Raw genomic sequence first — 24,028 nt, forward strand, 5'->3', positions numbered from 1 at the left:
CATGTATTATTCATCTTTATATACCTAGCAAATAGCATAATACCTAATATTATTACTATTACATAGTAATACTAACATTATTAATAAGTAAGTGTTAGGTGGACCTAATTCATCTTAAGTGAATTTTATTTGCTGGTTAGCATGAAGGATTATGTTAAAAATCTTTATAAATATCTCCTTTTGGAATAGGAAGATATCTTTATATTTGCACTTGCTGTGTACTTCACCATCTTGAAGATAATAAGGTCACATCTCTTTAAATATTTAAATTAAAAGGACCCTGAGTCCTGTCCCACTATTGCACAAACATTGTTCATTACCAGAGTGTTTCCTCCTATAAAAGAACCCTAAACACTTAATCCAGCCACAAGGTGGTTGCTCCAATCTCATGCTTTTATTGGAGTGGGAACCCAGAAACTTCTCTTTGAGGCTAGAGGACTCAGTCTGGGGGACCACACATTTCAGAAGTATCCACCATGTGACTGTTGCTGCCACCATGGCTGGAGGCCTGTTATTGCGGTAGAAACCAGGCAGCTGCTGCCACAGCACAGTGTTCCCACCCGAGTTACTCTTCTTGCTCCTAAATCCTTGCCAGGATAAGAGCTTAGATGCACCCTCTTGGGCTGGAGGACCCCATAACCACCACTAGAAAATAGTTAACCCATGTCAAAATTGCCTCATGTGCTCACAATGGTGTAGCTATTTAAATTCACCCACGTCTTAGTCTGTTTGGGCTGCTACAACAGAATACCACAGACTGGGTAATTTATAAACAACAGAAATTTATTTATCACATTTCTGGAGGCTGGGATGTCCAAGATTAAGGTGCTGGCAGGTTCAGTGTCTGGTGAGGGTCCATTCCTCATAGATGGAGTCGTTTTGCTGGGTCTTCACATGGCAAAAGGGGAAAAGCTTCCTCAGTCCTCTTTATAAGGGCACTAATCCCATTCATTAGGACTCCACCCTCATGACCTGGTCACCTCCCAAAGGCCTGCCTTTTAATGCCAACACATTGGGAATTAGATTTCAACTCATGAATTTTAGAGGGACATAAACATTCAGCCCATGCAACCAATGTGCCCACTTCCCCACAGCTAAGTCCCTGTGCCAGGGAGCTGGGTCAGACGTGATGCAGCATTGTGCCTGGACTTAGCTGGGCCTCTGCATTGCTCATCTCCATGGGGCCCCATGCAGACAGAACACATGCTGACTGACACCTCTCTGGAATTTCCTGTGCCTGTCTTCACCTATCTAATTTTTTCATCTATTTCCAGTGCCAATGCCATACTCAAACTGCCAGTATTATACAATAAATAATGCTAAGATAGCACTTTGTTCTACGAAACTTTGATGTTTACATAGTGCTGACATATCTATCATCTTATTTGATCATCTCTTCCTCACACCGGCCTTCTGATGTATGGGGACCTGTGTTGATAGTCAACCCCATCTTATAAGGAGGAAAGTGAGAGTAGACCACATTAACTAACTTGTACAAGTCTTGTAAGTGGGAGGCCTGGATTTTGAACCTAAGTCTTTGTGATCGCTATATTCATTCAAGGAGTTTTAAAAGGTTTTGGTGTCAGAACCTTCCTTTAAGGTGAAATTGAAAGCATAATCCCATATATTGAACAGACAAATATGGAGCTGTTATCGTTGGAGAAGGAGTATGGGATCCCTGTATTCCCTAGCAACCCCATGTAATATGGTTTGGCTCTGTGTCCCCACCCAAATCTTATCTTGTAGCTCCCATAATTCCCACATATTGTGGGAGGGACCCAGTGGGAGAGAACTGAATCATGGGCGTGGGTCTTTCCTGTGCTGTCCTCATGATAGTGAATAAGTTTCACAAGATCTGATGGTTTAAAAAAAAATGGGAGTTTCCCTGCACAAGCTCTCTCTCTCTTTGTCTGCTGCCATCCACATAAGATGTGACTTGCTCCTCCTTGCCTTCCACCATGATTGTGAGGCCTCCCCAGCCATGTGGAACTGTAAGTCCAATAAACCTCTTTTTTGTGTGTGAATTTCCCAGTCTCCGGTAGGTCTTTATCAGCAGTGTGAAAATGGACTAGCCACATAGTTGCTAAAAGCCATTCCAAGTCCTTCCAAAAGTCTGTGATTCTTAACTAATTTCACGTGTGCAACTGATGTTGTATTTTATTACCTCAATTTTACAGAAAAGAAAACTGTGATTTGGAAGTGTTAAAATACCTTTGTTTACTTTCCCTCTTCATCTGCCTGGTTGATATTTGAAAACAAAACTCAGCCTTGGCATGACAGGAGGGAGGAAGGGAATGTGTTCCCATTTGGTTTGTAGATTTGTGACTGTTTTCATAATGTGAAGTTAGTTCACACTAGGCAGGTGAACCAAGTTTTCACACGTTGTCCTTTGCCTTTCTTATGCCTGTGATGTTGAGGTTTTAGTGGAAGTCACTCTTCAGCAAGTGGAAGAAATGCCTGCTATAAAACAGCTTTTATTCATTTGGTCACCAGAAAGGAAGAATACTTACTAATATTCCAGTGGAAACTTACAAAATATTAAATGATAACAGTGATGGCTGCAAAGAGAAATCTTGTTGGTCTCAGCATCACATTTATGATTATAGAGGATTCTTTAGGATTTTATAGAAAAAATATTTAAACTAAAGTCTATTTTTAAATATCTGATTCTAATTTTTATAAAATAGAAATTTGTTCATTGCTCATGCTCTTCAAACATTTGGACCATGTAAGAAAGTGGTTGTAATACTGGTCAAGTGTCCTGCCATCAGCTGAAGCACAATCAGAGATCAAGCCTGAATTCCTCCACGACCATGTCCATTTAATTGTGCTGTGACATCCACTTAAATAGTCACATCGATGGAAAACCTTTAACATCATGCAAGTGAAATGTTACCTTGAAGAAAATTCCTGACATTTGTTTCATTTGGTTTGCTAGTGTCATTTCTCTTGAAAGACTTACTCATTTACCCTACACCTTTTCAAAATGGATCAAGTGGTTCAAACAGTGAAAAACAAACTGTTAACAAAGACTGAAAAACTCAAACCCATGCAAATGAATCAGTAACACATATGTTAGCCAAGAGGGCAAAACCATTTATTGTAATTAAACATTTATTTTTGTCCCGGGATTTCTGGTATCCAGGGCAAAAATGGTGGCATAAGAGGTGACAAAATTCTTATCTACTTGTATAAAGCATGCCAGTTCTTCAGGAAGGACAGCCTTTTTTCTAGTAATAAATTTAAAAAGGAATCTATGGTATTGGTGTGACTCAGGCTGATACTGGTCCTCTAAACAAAATTTTAAAATCTTTAAATGAGATTAAATACATTTTAGAAGTTCATGTTTTCTGCGTTAATCAGAACAGACTGAGTCTTGCTGTGGTAACAGATCTTCAAATCTCAGTGGCTCAACCCAGGAAATTTTTATTTGTTGCTCACGTCATAGCGTGATGCTGGTAACATGAATTTCCTGGGTCACTGTCATTTAAATAGAAACTCGGGGATCTGTTCTCCTTCCACCTTGTAACTCTAATTCTGTCAACTGGTAATCCATCTTTTCCAGCATACAGATAAGGGAGAGAGAGGATGAGGGGGTGGGGAGGATTGCACGAGACACTTTAGAGACCAGGCCTGGAAGAGAGACATGTTATTTCTACCCACATACCATTGGCCAGAATGCAATCGCATCCCTCTAATATTGTCCACAAGGGCAATGGGAATATATGGTATTCCTCTGTTCCTGGAAGGAAGAAAGGGGATGAATGGGCATCTGGGCAACTTCTGCCGTGTCTAGTATTCACCTTAGAGCTTTCCCTCCTCTCATCTTTAACTCTGTTTCAAAACACTTTGGTCCCTGAGGGTTCCCTGGGACAAGGAATTATGTCCACCAATTATACAAATACAAAGTAAAATTATATTAGTATAATTTATAATGAAAAAATTTCTTTGTACCAGTCAACTGAATACTAAATATTGGGGCAATTTTTGAGCATGTTTCTATAAGTGATGAACCTTTATGAACTTAAAATGAGTCTATATATATATATATATATTCAATAAAATGAAATGACTGTTCTCTTCGTCATCATCTGGAGCAGCTCTGATTTTAATTGATTCTATATTGGAGGGCCCAGGTAAGATTCTTTCATGTAAGAATTCCTCTTCTGAAAAAAAGGTTTGAGAAGCGTCGGATTCAGATAGCATGCTCCCTTGGCTCAGGCGAAAGTACCCTCAAGGATCAGAACCATCTTCCACTAAAGCCGGGAGCTAGACAGGATATTTTCACAAAATCCAAAGAGAGAGCGTCATGGACCTCAGGGAGGAGCAAACCTATTACAGAAAAGGGAGCTTTTTCATCACATCTGTATTATTCTTCGTTTGAGCCCTGAGTCAGCACCAACTGAAGCTTCAGTTGACCTGAAACACTGTGCTCGGCGGAGTTTTGGAAAATTAATCAGCTTACATTCAAGAACACTTACATCCCTACACGTTCATTTTATAACGTTTCACACCCATACATTTGGCTTTGAGGTCTGCTTCATTCAGATACATATTGGAAAGCCCTGAATTCCTATCACAGCCAGGATTTTCTTCAGCTCCAGGGATTTGTTTGGTTTTGTGCCATTTTATCCCGAGTTTTATTCCTTCCATCTGATTCAAATGTTTTATTACCCACTCATCGTTGTTCTTAACGGGGGAAAAAAGAGAAAAGAAGCTGCAAAACTGCACCTCTCTTAAAACAGGAAAACGTTCTGGTTTGAATTTCCTGTCAGATTTTGGGCAGGTTAGTTGGCAACTGGTGATTTGGACACATTTCAGATTTCTGAGTACATTTCACAGAGAGCTTTATTGGCTCCCTCTGGACCCCCGTTAGAGAACAGCGAGATGCAGGGCTCAGCTTAATCACCATGCTTTCATTAGCCAGCTGCTCTGTGCACATCACCAAGTGCGTGATCTTCATCATCACACGCTTTTTACTCTATCTGCGAGCTTGGAAAAGGGACTCATCACCATCAGCATTTTACAGTTGCGGGGAAATGGAGCTTGTGAAGAAAGCCTGATTGTCAAATGCAGTCCCCGTGATGTCAGCTACTACCTTTCTGCTGTTGTCCTAAGAAGCTTTTTAAAGAGAAGATTTTTAGATATACAAAAAGGTTACAAAGATAGTGGAGAGAGTTTCTGTATACCCGACTCCCAGTTTACCGTGTTGTTAACATCTTACACCACTATGGTCCATTTTTCACTTTAATGAACCCATATTGACACATTATGATTATCTAAAGTTCATACTTTATCGGGAGTTCCTTAGTTGTGACTAATGTTCTTTTCTGTTCCAGGACATCTGATCCTGGGCCCCACATTACATTTAGTTCTGATATCTCCTTTCCTTAGTCTCTTCTGCCACTGTACTTTTGCTTTGGTGTGTGTGCGTGCACGTGTGTGTGTGTGTTTGTACTAGCTTGTGATGTAATATGCAGGTCTTGGCCTGCCAAATGGAAAGCCAGTGGTATACAGCAAATTATAGTTAACCACTCATTAAGTTGGTAGCCATAATTGAAAAGAGAATATTAAGGAATATGCTAAATATTAGAAGTATTTTGGATGCTAGTTTGTTACAATTAAAAAATGGAGAGGAGACAGTTATATTTACAGAAAACTAAACAGCAAATAGAAGATATCCTAGAGATGCAGAGAATTCAGGCCTAAATACCATTCATTCAGATCTATAGAGACCTATAGGGTTCCCAAAGCAAGCACTAATGTGTTTCTTCTAGTGATTGTTCATTTCTTTCAGGAATGCTGTTTGTCTTTTGTGACTCATAGCAGCCACTTTTACTGATTTTTTTTTTTTTTGGAATGTCAGATGTAGTGAGCTGCCTGGGCTAAAAAGAGTTTGGTACGCAGATTTGGGCTTCATTGGCTGTTTCCCATGGGAAAGTTAGTTGATTAGATTAAAGATGAAAGACTGTCCCAGTCAGCTGTTTAGGCCATACACAGATGGAAGGAATCGGGGAAGGCAGGGTGTACACATTTGCCATGATACTCAGCCCAGATAATTTAATATGAATTTCCCCCCTTTGTTGGTGAGGGGTTGGGAGTGATAAGGTCGAAGGCGTAAGAAATCTTAAAGTATTTGTTAGTGCCGATGGTGTAACCTCTAATTCAACAAAGTACTGCACATAGGGTGTCCTTGTAGGCTTTGGGAAAATTTTAGAAGAGAAGGAAAGAGAGAGAGAGAGAGAAGAAAGAAGCAAAAAGAGAAGAGAGAGTGAGGGGAGAGAGAAAGAGAGAGAAAGAGAAAGGATTAAATGTTTCTGGCATGCTGAGAATGAAATCCCTATGGGGTAGACAGAATTTGACTGAGATAAGCCATCTTTTATGTTTCAAGCAAAAGTGAACAGAGTCCATACACTAAGCAGGTGTCAGTAGAAAGGAATTAGGTCTGTGTTTTAATTTTAAAAATTAATTTCCTCACCTTAGAATCCAACGGTGGAAGGAATTTTCAAACACTTTACATCTTTCTGCTTGCTTCCAAGCAGGCAACTCAGTCACACCCAGCTGTTCCTTTTTACTCACTGTCTTCTTGATTTCCTAGGTCTTTTTCATTTTTGCAATTAAAATGACACGATCACTTGGATAGATTAGTTGAAAAAATTAAAACAGGACAATGGCCATTCTAAATTGTACAATTGCTTGATTAAACATTGATTGAATAGTTTGTGGCTTATTCAGTTCATTCATATTTATTCTCCCTGACTTTCTTCCCTGCCAACTTTTGACTATCTTACTGATTTATGAAAGTAGAGAGGGAAAAAGAAGAAAACAGGTGAAATCATTCTGCTATTTGCTAAGTGATCTGGTAACTTTGGGGTAGGCAATGGTATTGAAAAGGTAGAATGATACATTTGTATTCATTCTTTCTCAAAATCATGAGAAGATTATTTCTAATTTGGGGATATCTGCCACCTCCTCCCCCAAGTGATAATAAACACACACACACACACACACACACACACACACACAAACAAACACACACACACACACACACACTCCTCAAATCTTCAGGTGGAACAGACTTGGCCCTACTATCTCAGCACCTCTTTGGCTTTTCATATTTACTTTCAGTTTATAAAGACACATGTGCTGTTTCCAATCTGCTTAGGGTTGGTGTTTCTGTTGGGAAAGTAAATGGCAAAAGGACCACATGACTGCCAAGGGTAAACACTGCTGAAGGCCACAGCTGCTGCTTAAGGGGGAAGGCGTGGGCTGGCTGGAAAGTTAAGGCAACATGAGGAGGAGAGGTTAGAGATGGGGTGAGAGAAGAAAGACCTGCCCCTCTCCACCTGCCTCTGCTCATTTCCTTCAGGAAACAGACACCAAGATGGAATTAGGAATGCAAAACGTTGACTAGGGGGTGATGCCTGTGAAGGATAAAGGGAGAGGGAGCAGGAACAGGTGGGACAAGTCTCAGACCATGATGCAAGTCTCACATCTGTAAAGGGAGAGCAGGAAGGAAGAAGAATCGGGCAGGTAGAGTTTCAGCCTGCAGGGCAGCTCTGAGAAAGTCTTGGCTAGGCTGATAGGGACATCCGAAGCAACAGTTTCCCAGTAGGGCAGGCATGCCCAGCCCTAGCAGACTCCTACCTCTGTCCCCTCTCCCCATGCTCAATCATTGGCTAGGAGCAGCTCTGGAGAAGCGTGGCCCTGGTATGGATGCTGTAATGGATCCCACAGCTGTGACAGCTGTAGGGTGGCAGATAACTACACTTCTCACTAAATATTATCTTTTTAAAAGTTGTTTATAGTTTTAAATTTATTGTTTATGTTTAAGGTGTACAACATGATATTTTGATATGCATATACACACTGAAATGATCACTACAGTCGAGCAGATTCTCTCTTAAAGGGAGATCTGAGCAGCACCTCCTCATGGATGCCACACCCATGAGTCTTATTATAATAGTAACGACACTTACAAAAGGCAAGAGAGGGCAGCATGCCTGGTCACATTGCTACCATTTACCCTCACATCGTATTGATCACAAGAGCCACAAAACTGAGTTATAGTTTCCTTTTAGCTCTTAAAATCCTAAGGCACCTTGCAAAAGTTAGCCTGACCCAGTTTAGTTTCTTCTAGCTGTCACATGTGGTCCAAAAACCATCTAGAACGATTTGCAGCATGCTGACTCAACTTGTCGGAGCCGGAAGCCCCTTGGCAGACACGAGAACTATCTCATCTCTCAGATCTGTGTGGAAAGGGAAATTGATTCACTGTTTTCATTCCTTTTTCTTTTTCTGAGGTTGCTTCTAAGTGCTGGAGGGTGTTGGCTTTTCTATGACTCAGAAGTATAAATCTTTTCCTAAGGTGAAAGATTAATTTTCAGAATGGAGGAAAAAATCCTTCCTAGTTTTATACTTTAAGTATGAGAATTGGTTACACAGGGGCAGTTGATCCAGAATGTTACGTTGAAGGGGGGAGATAGGAGCATGACTGAACTATAAACCAAAAGGGGGTTTCTAAACACCTCTCCGCAGGTAAATTCAGCTTTGGAAAGAGCTTTTCAAAATCATGAGGCTATGATAGTTCAATTTAGCCTATCATAAAAATCATCTGCTTATTTACTTTGACCAACACATTCATATCCCCTCCTTGTTTTCTGCCTCTCTGAGTCCAGAGAATGAAATTATCTTCATGTGAGTAATAAATTGGAGACTGACAAGTCAAAGACACAAAGGGACATGAAATTCCACCTGTGGATTAACAATTGGCCTCTCCCAGAGTTTAAACTTTTCCAGATGCAAATTCCAGAGTGGGATGAGATATTCCACAGTCGACATTTGGGACAATAGCACTTGTAGACACTCAGGGAATAAACATTATGTAGTTGATGCAGTCAGGTCTATTTCATTTCAGTAAGGAAGGTGGCCAAGCTTCCATGGTGAAGGGTGGTGAAAGTGGGTGTTGTGAAGATTGAAAACTATTCAGTTTTGCTGAAGACAGATTCTGTGTTTTAGATTTCCTGCTGTCTCACTAAGCTTTCCTGAGCTTCCTGGGGTCGGGGGCAGGGCAGAAAGCCTGTCAATAGAAAAGGAGACAGGACTTGTTAAGTTTATTTCAAACCCATTGCTTCACTTCTCATAAGCTATTTTCTACCCCTATTTTTTAAGATCAAGGTACAGTCATGCAGGGAATTTGTTCCAAGGCTCCAGAAGATCCCAAAATCCTGGGATGCTTAAGTCCCTGGTAGAAAATGGCATAATATTTGCATACAACCTATGTACATCCTCCCACATATTTAAAATCATCTCTAGATTACTAATAATACCTAATACCATGTAAATGCTATGTAAATGGTTGTTGTAGTATATTGTTTTTGATTTGTGTTATTTTTTATTTTCCTCTCCTCCCCACACATATTTCTATGAACAGTTGATTGAATCGGCAGATGGGGAACCACTGATATTGAGGGCCTTGGGTATATGGTCCTATCCTTTGTTCGTCACTGATTCATTCTTTTGGTTTTGTTTTGTTTTTTTGAGACAGAATCTTGCTGTGTTACCCAGGCTGGAGTAGAGTGGTGCAATCATAGCTCATTACCGCCTTGACCTCCTGGGCTCAAGTGATGGCATCCACCTCAGCCTCCTGAGTAGCTAGGACTATAGCTACCACACCTGGCTAATTAAAAAAAATTTTTTTTTTGTAGAGATGGGGGTCTTGCTATGTTGCCCAGACTAGTAAAAAACTCCTGGCCTTGAGCGATCCTCCTGCCTCAGTCTCCCACAATGCTAGGATTACACGTGTGAGTCACAGTGTCTGACCTGATTTCATTCTTAGTGATTGCATGGTGGATATCATGGCTTACAGTGGTTTTCATTTTTTTTTTTTAAGTAGTGGAGCTCTTGCTTCATAGAAATATAAAAGATAGAAAAGTGAGGATGGAGAGTCTGACTCTCTGTCTTGCCAGTTTCTGCTTTAGGCATCTCCACAGACACCCAAGACTTTATGGGACATAGCTTGAAAGTTACTCTTAAAGTGAAAAAAGGTGTTGAATGTGAGTTTAGGCCTAGAACATAGAGTCTAGTTCTAGTTCTATTATTATTTAGTTTTTGTAACCTTGTGTACATAACAATAGCAATAACGGTAGTAATAGAGTACCCTGTAAATGCTTATGGTTATAAGAAAGGTTGTTATAATTAGTAACTAGATATGGGGTCACAGAACTGGTTTGGTGACTCACCAGCTAAGTGAGCCTGAGCAAGTCATTTATAAGGGAGTTACTTTTTAAATTGTGACATGAGAAGGTTGGACTTGCTTCCCTCCAATCCGTTCTCCACTCTCTATCCAGAGTGATCTTTCTGAAATGTGAATCCGATCCATGTCCCTCCTTTGCATCCACCTGTTCGTTGGCTCCGCATGATGTCTAGGATAAAGCCTCCCTCTTTAGCATGACATATGGTTGTCCTTGCTCACCTTTCTTGAGTGGCATTTTCTTTACTCTTTCCCTGCCCCCACCATACACACCGTATGCTTGGATGCATACTCACTGAATAATGTGAAGCTGCTGTATGTGTTATGCTCTCTCTCACCTCTACATCTTTGCTCATGCTGTTCCTTATAACTGGAACAGACTTTTTCCTACCTGTCTTCTTTTCGCCTATCAGTTTCTTTCTCATCCAAACTGGATGTCACCCTCCAGAATGCTTTCTTTGATCCCCCCAAACTGACTTAAATGCTTCCTGTATGTTTCCCTTTAGCCTGTATGTTGTGTTGCATTAATAATTCCTGTCCTGTTCGGGTTTGCCCCAGTTGGCTGTAAGAAACTAGAAACTGTGCTTTAGTCATTGTCATATCCTGAGGCCTTAACACAAGCCCCCCTATAATGGATTCAAATATTTGTTAAATGAATTAAAGATTATTTGATTCTTCTCTGAATCTCAGCTTCCTCATTCCTTATATGAAACTAATATGTATCTCCCAGATTGTGATGAGGATTACAGGCACAAGATACGAGAAAAAGCTTGCTGACAGAAATCACTATACCTGTATAAGATAGGAGGGGAGGGCTTGCCTTACTTTTTGGTCTGTAGTTTCCTCTATACAAGTGTTTGGTGAACTGTGACCTACAGGCCAAATCTAGACCACCTCCTGTTTTTGTACCACCCATGAGTTAAGAATGGCTTTTAGATTTTTAGGTAGTTGGATACAATCAAATGTACAAATGCAGATTGTATGAAATTCAAATTTCAGTGGCCATAGATTTAGTGAGTAAGGATTAGTCATGCTCATTTTTTCGGTTATGGCTACTTTCGTATTACAGTGGCAGAGCTGAGTACCTGTGACAGGCTTTCTTACTCTAAACCAAAACTTCTTCTCTCCCCTCACTGTCCAACCCCTGCTTTGGGCCTTGGTTCTGCTTTGATTTCTAAGCCTTAGGAACACTTGATAATTTCTCACGCACCTAGAAAGAACCAGTAACTTCTTATTTATGCTAAAACAACCATATGGGTATATACACAGAACGTAGGATACTTCTCCAAAGATATTTTGTATTTGGGCACGTATAATATGATGAATTTAGGAACAAAATTACTGGGTTCTCCTGCAAACTATCTCATTACGCAGGTTATTTGTTAAAGGAAGGGCTCCTTATGGTTTTCTCTGATGAATATTTGAGTGTGAAATTTGTTCAGATGGGTATGAATTTTTTCTCTGCATAAGGCTTTTTATTTCTTTTTTAAAAAATAATTAATGGAAAGAAGCTAAAAGCAAAAGCCGTTCTCATTTTAAAAATGAGGTGTTGAAAGCATTAACATTAGAATAGATTCAGTTACAGAGTTGGAAGTGAAGAAAGAGAGAAAGAGAGAGAGGGAGTGAGAGAGAGAGAGAAGCTAAGAAGTGTAATGGTCATCTAATGAGAAGATGGGCCAGCTAGAAATACTGTTAGGAAGCTGTGCGGAGAATAGCTCAGGGGTCAGCATAGCTCTGTAAGGGAGAGGCCCAAGGACATTTTTGTGGTAGTTTAATTGCTTCCTGCAGAATCCCTGTAACTGTTTGGCATCTGAACTTCTCCTGTTCTGTCTTCGCTGTCTGTGTGGTATAGCTGGGATTGTACGTGAAAGAAAACTTAATACACCCTATCTACACAGAGGAACATGGTGTCCCATCTCCCAGAAAAGAACCCAATGACCACTTGGACCCTAAGCTGCATTCCTGAGCTTCTCTGAGGATATAGTAAACAAGTTGTCAGGATCCAGAGATTCATGAAGAGAAGCTTCAACATTGTGAAATACTGTTGACATCTTGGTTGCTCTATTTGGCACCAAATCACACTATGAGAGAGAACAATGATTTTGACAATGTTATAGACTGGTCTAACCACAAAACCCACCAACTCCTCTCCTCTCCGCCTTCTAAAATTGCTCCAACAAGATATAAAACCCTAACAAATGCAGTATTCTAAAATGATGGAAAACCAAATATTAAGGTCAGAGGGGATGGTATAAAGCACATATGTGAGCTTTCCGTCTGACCAAGTTCATAACACAGGTTCTGTGTATAAATTCACAATTTGAACTGATAAACTGAAGTTATGCTACTCTGAGTTGGTTTTGGAAAAATTACATATACTTACATGTATCTGCTACAAAGTATTTAATTTTTTAACTCCTTAATTTGAGGGTTTCTCTTTGATTTTGAGGGTATGCTTAACCCACCTTGAATATTTCTAGTATTCCCCCACCTTTTTTTTTCCTTTTTGCAATGCTTTTAAAAATAAGTTTACATTATATCAACTAGAAACATGTGCTTCAATTTCATCTGCCTTGGTACTTCTCCTTACGTAGAACATAGTAAATTTTTGGTGCCAATAAACATTTTCCTTTTAGGGAAAGGGACTAGATTTGTGGTGCAGAATCCCATTAACCTATATTGAAACCAAGTATCTGGGAAATGCTTCTTATGTACTGTATCTGTTCACTGGAAGAATGTCTTTGTTTTATGTGTCCAGTTACAATTTAGTTCATAATAAAATGATATTTTTCCAGATATCAGCTTGCCAGAACCCATTGTTTTCTTTTTGCTAATGTAAACTAAGTAGATGTAGTTGACTGATTATTAACCAGCAGTTTTCAGATGTTGCTTCTTTTCCCTCCTAAATGAATCCCTATCTAAACGAGAAATGGGCAACAATTTTTCTATTGAAACCCAGAAAACCATAGAGGAAATATCAAATAAGAACACCCCCCTCTGAAAAATCAAGACAATAAAGAAAAAACTAGAAACTAGTTTATTAATGCATTTTTAATGTAAACACACAGAAATATACAAAAAAATAGCAAGCATCCATATTTTCAGTTCCCAGTATTAAATATTTACCTTGATATATTCTTATGCTTAAAAAAAAATACTAGGCTGGGTGCAGTAGCTTACTTCTGTAATCCCAGTGCTTTGGAAGGCTGAAGCAGGAGGATTGCTTGAAGGCCAGGGGTTCTAGACCAGCCTAGGCAGCATAGCAAGACCCCATATCTGCAAAATAATCTATTATTTTTGTGGAAACATGTGCTTATTATAACAAATTCAAAAGACAAAAAAAATTGCTCTGAATCCTACTGCTTAGAAAAAATTCACTGTTACCATGAGAGGAACATGATTTTACAGTCCATCTTTTTATGCATACATACTGTTTGACTCCTCCAAACCTCAAGTTGAAATTTGGTCCCTGGTGTTGGAGGTGATGCTTAATGGGAGGTCTTTGGGTCTTGGGGACAGATCCCTCATAAATAGATTAGTGCCCTTCCTGGGAGAGAGTGAGAGAGTTCTCACTCTGTTAGTTCCTACAAGAGCTGGTTGTTAAAAAAAGCCTGGCTCCTCCCCCCATGCTCTCTTGCTTCCTCCCTCACCATGTCATCTCTGCAAAATTACAATGATTCCCCTTCATCTTCCATCATGAGTGGAAGCAGCCTGAGGCCTTTACTAGAAGCAGATGCTGATGCCATTCTTCTTGTATAGTTTGTAGAACCCTGAGCTAAATAAACCTCTGTTCTTTAAAAATTACCCAGTGTCTTTATATATATATATATATAAAGAAATATATATATATATTCCTTTATAGCAACACAAAACATTCTAACATATAACACACACACACACACAGGATAATTAGAAACACTTTTATTAAGACGGAGACTTATTACAGAAGACACTTTAATGCAAAAAGTTTAATTTTACTTAAATTTAATAGAAGAAACTGAGAGAACTGTTGAGCTCTAAATAAATATTTCCTTAGAATAGACAAGATTGGCCAGATGCAGTGGCTCACGCCTGTAATCCCAGCACTTTGGGAGGCCGAAGCAGGTGGATCAGGAGGTCAGGAGGTCGAGACCAATCTGGCCAACATGGTAAAACCCCATCTCTACTAAAAATACAAAAAAATTAGCCGGGGGTGGTGGCACGAGCCTGTAGTCCCAGCTACTTGGGAGGCTGATGCAGGAGAATCGCTTGAACCTGGGAGGCAGAGGTTGCCGTGAGCCTAGATCATGTCACTGCACTCCAGCCTGGGTGACAGAGCAAGACTCGGTCTCAAAGGAAAAAAAAAAAAAAAAAAAAAAGAAAAGATCTATTATTTCTTGAAAGTTTTCTTTCAGATTAAAAAAGAACTTTAAAAAACAATAATAATTCTTCAGCTACACATTTCAATCTTAGCATTCTCAAACTTTCTCCCACTGCTTCCCAAATTTTGTTAATATTTTTATATTGTCTAAAAATGTAACTTTTATGTGGTTTTCTGTAACCAAAATTCTCTTAGTTTGATTAGTTCAGTATTTGGCTCAATACATAAATGGATTGAATGCCTATCAGCTTTTTAAAACTTGGATGATTTTATTAATGTTCTCTCTATTTTGATTCATATTTTAATATTTTTCCCTAAGAGACGTTTATGAATGTTGTATTTCCTACATTCTGTCATGTTTGAGAAAGTCTGCCTATTGTTCTCCTCTAGTCAAATGGCATTCTGGCTGGGTACGATGTCCTTGGATCACACCTTCTTTGCTTCAGAACATTGTGAGCATTACTCGCTTGTCTTTGGCATTTACTGTCATTATGAGGAAGCCTGATTTTTTTCCCAGTGTACATGATTTTCTTTTCTGGCTTATCACTTGAAGAATTATTTCTTTATCTTTGAATTTTAATAATGTTAACTTAGCTATGCTCAGAGTAGAGTGTTCTGTATCAAACTTTTCTGGAAACTACAGGAAAAAACAGCTGCATATGCAGGTGTTATTTTTTGTTTATTTATTTTTTGATTTTGCTCTGTCATCAGGCTGGAGTGCAGTGGCGCGATCTTGGTCCACTGAAACCTCCGCCTCCTGGGTTCAAGCAATTCTCCAGCTGCAGCCTCCTGAGTAGCTGGGACTACAGGCGCACGCCACCACTCCCAGCTAATTTTTGTATTTTTAGTAGAGATGGGGTTTCATCATGTTGGCCAGGATGGTCTCGATCTCTTGACCTCATGATCTGCCTGCCTTGGCCTCCCAAAGTGCTGGGATTACAGGTGTAAGCCACCGCGCCTGGCCTTAAGTGTTATTTTTAACTCTTTGCTTCAGGAAAGGTCTCTTGCACTATGTGTTTCTCTTTATTTCTGTTTATTTGTTGGGTTTGTTACCTTGAAGACACCAATTGTCCTTGTTTTAGATCACATTTTTCTCTCTACCATATCTATTACATCATTCCTAAATGCTTTGATCTCTTTTTAAATGTTATTCACCATGATTAGTTCAAGTCTTCCTGCTATGTCGGTAATTGTATTTACAGCAATAGCAACTGTGTTTCATATTGTTTCTAAAATATTAATTACTTTTATATGAGGTTGTTTGGGACCCCAATTGCTTCCTTGGGTGTGCAATCACTTTTTACATCTTGGTAGGTTGTTGTTATCATCAGGCCTTTGTGTCTTTGTTTTTTTTTTTGTTTTGTTTTGTTTGCTTTTGATATTTTAATTCTTTTTAAAAAAATACTTTAAGTTCTAGGGTATGTTTGATACATAGGTATCCAACGTGCAGGTTTGATACATAGGTATTCATGTGCCATGTTGGTTTGCTGCACCCATCAACTTGTTATTTACATTAGGTATTTCTCCTAATGCTATCCCTCCCCCAGCCCCCTACCCCCAACAGGTCCCAGTGTGCGATGTTCCCCACCCTGTGTCCAAGTGTTCTCATTGTTCAGTTCCCACCTAAGAGTGAGAACATGTGGTGTTTGGTTTTCTGTCTTTGTGATAGTTTGCTGAGAATGATGGTTTCCAGCTTCATCTATGTCCCTGCAAAAGACATGAACTCATCCTTTTTTATGGTTGCATAGTATTCCATGGTGTATATGTGCCATATTTTCTTAATCCAGTCTATCATTGCTGGATATTTGGATTGGTTCCAAGTCTTTGCTATTGTGAAATAGTGCCACAATAAACATACATGTGCATGTGTCTTTATAGTAGTATGATTTACAATCCTCTGGGTATATACCCAGTCATGGGATTGCTAGGCCAAATGATATTTCTAGTTCTAGATATTGAGGAATCGCCACACTATCTTCCAGAATGGTTGAACTAATTTATACTCCCACCAACAGTGTAAAAGCATTCCTATTTCTCCATATCCTCTCCAGCATCTGTTGTTTGCTGATTTTTTAATGATCGCCATTCTAACTGGCGTGAGATGGTATCTCATTGTGGTTTTGATTTGCATTTCTCTGATGACCACTGATGATGAGCATTTTTTCATGTGTCTGTTGGCTGCATAGATATCTTCTTTTGAGAAGCGTTTGTTCATATCCTTTGCCCACTTTTTGTTAGGGTTGTTTTTTTCTTGTAAATTTGTTTGAGTTCACTGTAGATTATGGATATTAGCCCTTTGTCAGATGGGTAGATTGTAAAAATTTTCTCCCATTCTGTAGGTTGCCTGTTCACTCTGATAGTAGTTTCTTTTGCTATGCAGAAGCTTTTTAGTCTAATTAGATCCCATTTGTCAATTTTGGCTTTTGTTGCCATTGCTTTTGGTGTTTTAGTCATGAAGTCCTTGCCCATGCCTATGTCCTAAATGTATCTCCTAGGTTTTCTTCTAGGGTGGTTTTAGGTCTAACATTTAAGTCTTTAATCCATCTTGAATTAATTCTAGTATAAGGTGTAAGGAAGGGATCCAGTTTCAGCTTTCTACATATGGCTAGCCAGTTTTCCCAGCACCATTTGTTAAATAGGGAACCCTTTCCCCATTGCTTGTTTTTGTCAAAGATCATCTGTAGATGTGTGGTGTTATTTCTGAGGGCTCTGTTCTGTTCCATTGGTCTACATATCTGTTTTGGTAGCAGTACCATGCTGTTTTGGTTACTGTAACCTTGTAGTATAGTTTGAAGTCAGGTAGCATGATGTCTCCAGCTTTGTTCTATTGGCTTGGGATTGTCTTGGCAATGCAGGCTCTTTTTTGGTTTTACATGAACTTTAAAGTAGTTTTTTCCAATTCTGTGAAGAAAGTCATTGGTAGCTTGATGGGGATGACATTGAATCTATAAATTACCTTGGGCAGTATGGCCATTTTCACTATATTGATTCTTCCTATCCATGAGCATGGAATGTTCTTTCATTTGTTTGTGTCCTCTTTTATTTCATTGAGCGGTGGTTTGTAGTTCTTGAAGAGGTCCTTCACATCCCTTATAAGTTGGATTCCTAGGTATTTTATTCTCTTTGTAGCAATTGTGAATGAGAGTTCACTCATGATTTGGCTCTCTGCTTGTCTGTTATTGGTGTATAGGAATGCTTGTGATTTTTGCACATTGATTTTGTATCCTGAGACTTTGCTGAAGTTGCTTATCAGCTTAAGGAGATTTTGGGCTGAGATGATGGGGTTTTTAAAATATACAATCATGTCATCTGCAAACAGGGGCAATTTGACTTCCTCTTTTCCTAATTGAATACCCTTTATTTCTTTCTCTTGCCTGATTGCCGTGGCCAGAACTTCCAACACTATGTTGAGTAGGAGTGGTGAGAGAGGGCATCCTTGTCTTGTGCCAGTTTTCAGAGGGAATGCTTCCAGTTTTTGCCCATTCAGTATAATATTGGCTGGGGGTTTGTCATAAATAGCTCTTATTATTTTGAGAAATGTTCCATCAATACCTAGTTTACTGAGAGTTTTTAGCATGAAGATCTGTTGAATTTTGTTGAAGGCCTTTTCTGCATCTATTGAGATAATCATATGGTTTTTGTCATTGGTTCTGTTTATGTGATGGATTACGTTTATTGATTTGCGTATGTTGAACCAGCCTTGCATCCCAGGGATGAAGCCGACTTCATCGTGGTGGATAAGCTTTTTGATCTGCTGCTGAATTTGGTTTGCCAGTATTTTATGGAGGATTTTTGCATTGATGTTCATCAGGGATATTGGTCTAAAATTCTCTTTTTTTGTTGTGTCTCTGCCAGGCTTTGGTATCAGGATGATGCTGGCCTCATAAAATGAGTTAGGGAGGATTCCCTCTTTTTCTGTTGATTGGAATAATTTCAGAAGGAATGGTACCAACTCTTCTTTGTACCTCTGGTAGAATTCAGCTCTGAATCCATCTGGTCGTGGACTTTTTTTGATTGGTAGGCTATAATTATTGCCTCAATTTCAGAGCCTATTATTGGTCTATTCAGAGATTCAACTTCTTCCTGGTTTAGTCTTGGGAGGGTGTATGTGTCCAGGAATTTATCCATTTCTTCTAAATTTTCTAGTTTATTTGCATAGAGGTGATTATAGTATTCTCTGATGGTAGTTTGTATTTCTGTGGGATCGGTGGTGATATCCCTTTTATCATTTTTTATTACATCTATTTGATTCTTCTGTCTTTTATTCTTTATTATTCTTCCTAGAAGTCTATTAATTTTGTTGACCTTTTCAAAAAACCAGCTCCTGGATTCATTGAATTTTTGAAGGGTTTTTTGTGTCTCTATCTGTTTCAGTTCTGCTCTGATCTTAGTTATTTCTTGCCTTCTGGTAGCTTTTGAATTTGTTTGCTTTTGCTTCTCTAGTTCTTTTAATTGTGATGTTAGGGTGTGGATTTTAGATCTTTCCTGCTTTCTCTTGTGGGCATTTAGTGTATAAATTTCCCTCTACACATTGCTTTAAATATGTCCCAGATTCTGGTATGTTGTATTTTTGTTCTCATTGGTTTCAGAGAACATCTTTATTTCTGCCTTCATTTCGTTATTTACCCAGTAGTCATTCAGGAGCAGGTTGTTCAGTTTCCATGTAGTTGTGCAGTTTTGAGTGAGTTTCTTAATTCTGAGTTCTAATTTGATTGCAGTGTGGTCTGAGAGACAGTTTGTTGTGATTTCTGTTCTTTTACATTTGCTGAGGAGTCTTTTACTTCCAATTATGTGGTCAATTTTAGAATAAGTGTGATGTGGTGCTGAGAAGAATGTATATTCTGTTGATTTGGGGTGGAGAGTTCTGTAGATATCTATTAAGTCTGCTTGGTGTAGAGCTGAGTTCAGTTCCTGGATATCCTTTTTAACCTTCGGCCTCATTGATCTGTCTAATATTGACAGTGGGGTGTTGAAGTCTCCCATTATTATTGTGTGGGAGTCTAAGTCTCTTTGTAGGTCTTTAAGGACTTGCTTTATGAATCTGGGTGCTCCTGTATTGGGTGCATATATATTTAGGATAGTTAGTTCTTCTTGTGGAATTGATCCGTTTACCATTATGTAATGGCCTTCTTTGTCTCTTTTGATCTTTGTTGGTTTAAAGTCTGTTTTATCAGAGACTAGGATTGCAACCCCTGCTTTTTTTCTTTGCTTTCCATTTGCTTGGTAGATCTTCCTCCATCCCTTTATTTTGAGCCTATATGCATCTCTGCACATGAGATGGGTCTCCTGAATACAGCATACTGATGTGTCTTGACTCTTTATCCAATTTGCCAGTCTGTGTCTTTAACTGGGGCATTTATCCCATTTACATTTAAGGTTAATATTGTTATGTGTGAATTTGATCCTGTCATTATGATGTTTGCTGGTTATTTTGCCCATTAATTGATGCAGTTTCTTTATAGCATTGATGGTCTTTACAATTTGGCATGTTTTTGCAGTGGCTGGTACCGGTTGTTCCTTTCCATGTTTAGTGCTTCCTTCAGGAGCTCTTGTAAGGCAAGCCTGGTGGTGACAAAATCTCTCAGCATTTGCTTGTCTGTAAAGGATTTTATTTCTCCTTCACTTATGAAGCTTAGTTTGGCTGGATATGAAATTCTGGGTTGAAAAGTCTTTTCTTTAAGAAGGTTGAATATTGGCCTCCACTCTATTTTGGCTTGTAGGGTTTCTGCTGAGAGGTCTGCTGTTAGTCTGATGGGCTCCCTTTGTAGGTAACCCGACCTTTCTCTCTGTCTGCCCTTAACATTTTTTCCTTCATTTCAACTTTGGTGAATCTGACAATTATGTGTCTTGGGGTTGCTCTTCTCGAGGAGTATCTTTGTGGCGTTCTCTGTATTTCCTGAATTTGAATGTTGGCCTGCCTTTCTAGGTTGGGGAAGTTCTCCTGTTTAATATCCCGCAGAGAGTTTTCCAACTTGGTTCCATTCTCCCCATCACTTTCAGGTACACCAATCAAACGTAGATTTGGTCTTTTCACATAGTCCCATATTTCTTGGAGGCTTTGTTCATTTCTTTTTACTCTTTTTTCTCTAACCTTGTCTTCTCACTTCATTTCATTAATTTGATCTTCAGTCACAGATACCCTTTCTTCCACTTGATCGAATCGGCTTTTGAAGCTTGTGCATGCATCACAAAGTTCTCGTGCCATGGTTTTCAGCTCCATCAGGTCATTTAAGGTCTTCTCTACACTGTTTATTTTAGTTAGCAATTCGTTAACCTTTTTTCAGGTTTTTAGCTTCCTTGCGATGGATTCGAACCTGCTCCTTTAGCTCAGAGAAGTTTGTTATTACCGACCTTCTGAGGCCTACTTAGGTGAACTCGTCAAAGTCATTCTCCATCCAGCTTTGTTCCATTGCTGGAAAGGAGCTGCGATCCTTTGCAGGAGAAGAGGCACTCTAGGTTTTAGAATTTTCAGCTTTTCTGCTCTGGTTTCTCTCCATCTTTGTGGTTTTATCTACCTTTGGTCTTTGATGTTGGGGACCTACAGATCAGGTTTTGGTGTGGATGTCCTTTTTGTTGATGTTGATGCTATACCTTTCTGTTTGTTAGTTTTCCTTCTAACAGTCAGGTCCCTCAGCTGCAGGTCTGTTGGAATTTGCTAGAGGTCCACTCCAGACCCTGTTTGCCTGGGTATCACCAGTGGAGGCTGCAGAACAGCAAATATTGCAGAACAGAAAATATTGCTGGCCTGATCCTTCCTCTGGAAGCTTCATCCCAGAGGGGCACCCGCCTATATGAGGTATCTCTTGGCCCCTACTGGGAAGTGTCTCCCAGTTAGGCTACACGGGAGTCAGGGACCCACTTGAGGAGGCAGTTTGTCCATTCTCAGAGCTCAAACACCATCCTGGGAGAACCATCGCAGTCTTCAGAGCTGTCAGACTCGGGCATTTAAGTCTGTAGAAGTTGTCTGCTGCCTTTTGTTCAGCTATGCCCTGACCACAGAGGTGGAGTCTATAGAGGTGTTAGGCCTTGCTGAGATGCGGTGGGCTCCACCCAGTTTGAGCTTCCTGGCTGCTTTGTTTACCTACTCAAGCCTCAGCAATCGCAGACGTCCCTTCCCCAGCCAGGCTGCCACCTCGCAGTTCAATCTCAGACTGCTGTGCTAGCAGTGGGGAAGGCTCCGTGGGCATGGAAACTGCCGAGCCAGGCACAGTAGAGAATCACCTTGTCTGCCGGTTGCTAAGACCTTTGGAAAAGTGCAGTATTTGGGTGAGAGTGTCCTATTTTTCCAGGTACAGTCTGTCACGTCTTCCCTTGGCTAGGAAAGGGAAATCCCCCGACCCCTTACACTTTCCGGGTGAGGCAACGCCCCACTCTGCTTCAGCTCACCCTCCATGGGCTGCACTCACCTTCCAACCAGTCTCAATGAGATGAACCAGGTACCTCAGTTGGAAATGCAGAAATCACCCGTCTTCTGCGTCAATCACGCTGAGAACTGCAGACCAGAGCTGTTCCTATTTGGCCATCTTGGAACCGGTCTGAGTCTGTTTTAGCCAGATCAAGTACTTGGTAAGTTATTCTACAGTGTGAAGCAGTTTTCCTTTGGGTACTTGGTGTTTCATTATTATTTAGTTCTTTGTCCTTCCTTTTCTCTCTTTCTTCCTTATCACATAAAATGTATATAATTGCCTGCCATATCAATACTTCTTTTTTTAAAGTTTGGGTGGTTCTGTCTAGGCATTCTATTTGCTCTGATGTACAGAGGGTTATTTCTTGATTTTTTAAAACATTATATATGACAATTTTGTTTGCTCCTCAGAGCTATAGGTTGGTGCCTGAGTATCCTTGTGTTCTACTCATTCTTTTACACACCAAGAGAATAGTAACAGAAGGAGAAAGCTCAGCTGTGTTAGGTTATTTCCACTCTTTGTTAAAGAATTGAGCCCTGCTCATTTTCTGGAACTTTGTTGATGGTCCTGTGTCAAGACCTACTTGAGGGATATTTTCCTTTCTTGTGGAAATGTAGCCTTGGCTCCTTAGACCATAGAGCTGTGGAGCTTTCTTTTCTGTAGGGTCAGTCCCTATTTCATTCTCTTTTCCCCACCAGTATCTTCTCCCCCAGTTCCTCATTTGGAAGGAAAAAGATAATGACTCAGTTAATTTCTTTTGAGGTTTCAGTTCATCAATTCAGAAGTACAACTTCCGGGGGTTTGGGCACAAGTAAAAGCAAGGCTGTGCACCCTCTCTGTTTCATTTCACAGTCTTCAGTATCTTTCCTTATTTTCCAGTTTTTGGAGTTTATGCATTAAGCATCCCCCCTTTTCCTGTTTTGTGGCTGCTAGTGACTTCTCCTCTAGCTTTTAGGTTTTATAATTTTTAAAAATTCCCCTCTCTTCCATGTTGTTAGATACTGGAAAGGGAAATACTGTGACTCGGTTTTAATCTGCAATCTTAAAGTGAAGGCAGGATATGCCAAAAATTATATTCAAGAAATACAACAGATAATTTAGTTGTAAATTCCATATCATAACCAGTTAAAAGGGAGGGAGTTGGAACGAGAAATATGATGAGAATTTGAGAGACTATAATAAAAAAATCAAGAGAATAAAAGAATAACAGAGAAGAGAGTGAAATAATTTAAAAAGAGGAAAATTCAGTTGGTTCTGATGATGCTTTGGTTGGTAGTATCATCTTTTTAGACTGAGGGCATTGGTGTTGGTAATGCATTATCACTGTGCTTTGAAAATCTGGTAGGCTTTTCAACTTTTGAAAAACGATCCTTCCTGTTCTGGGAAATAATTTGGTTGTTTTTATTCTAAAACTTTAAAGTTTATGTTTGAAATAAAGTCTTATTTTTCTATGTAACCTTGAAATCTTTACAGATGTTTGAAGCAGTGACTTGGATTTTAAAATTTATTTTGTAATCTGAGATTCATTGACCGATGTGCCAACTATTCTGAAAGTTCCTGCTCTCCTGTATCACAGACTGTAGCATTAGAGAGTACTAAGAAAGCAGTGAACAGCTAAACATTGGGAGGGAGGAAATGGTTAGGGTGGTAATGGAATCAGAATCAGGGAGAGAAGTGGGATCAGATACTGGGTGCAGGGAAAAGGTGGGGTTGGGGACCCAAATGGCTTGAAAACATCTACTAAGGGATTTTATGGAAACTGCACAAAGAAGAAAGTCAAGTGTCTAGGTAAAAGTCAGCAGCCAGTAGAGCCACAGAGAACAAGAAAAATGTGGACTGAAAATCCGTGCGTATTAAGAAGGAGTGAAACCTGAGATGGCTTGTTTTCTGTCAACTTTATTCTATCTTAACTATGGGAAGTATCAGCTGTGAGATAGAAAACTTGCAATAATAAGATATGATACTTCTGGCTGTGTGGATAGAGACAGAGAAACAGAGAGGGAAAGAGAG

General features: G+C 39.6%; 1 long non-coding RNA gene across 5 annotated transcripts in view, besides 1 other annotated feature; it reads left to right on the forward strand.

Annotated features, from left to right (window-relative positions):
* LINC03063 (long intergenic non-protein coding RNA 3063) overlaps positions 1-24,028 on the forward strand; it is a 50,602-nt gene that overhangs the window by 15,699 nt on the left and 10,875 nt on the right. The window lies entirely within an intron of this gene.
* Positions 22,552-22,641: an enhancer, noted in NCBI's record as "active region_15589". NCBI's record gives its function as "activates an Ori minimal core promoter by ATAC-STARR-seq in GM12878 lymphoblastoid cells {active_cell/tissue: GM12878}" and the evidence as "EXISTENCE:reporter gene assay evidence [ECO:0000049][PMID:35858748]".

Source organism: Homo sapiens, chromosome 2, assembly GCF_000001405.40.
Source record: "Homo sapiens chromosome 2, GRCh38.p14 Primary Assembly".
Taxonomy (NCBI): Eukaryota; Metazoa; Chordata; class Mammalia; order Primates; family Hominidae; genus Homo; species Homo sapiens.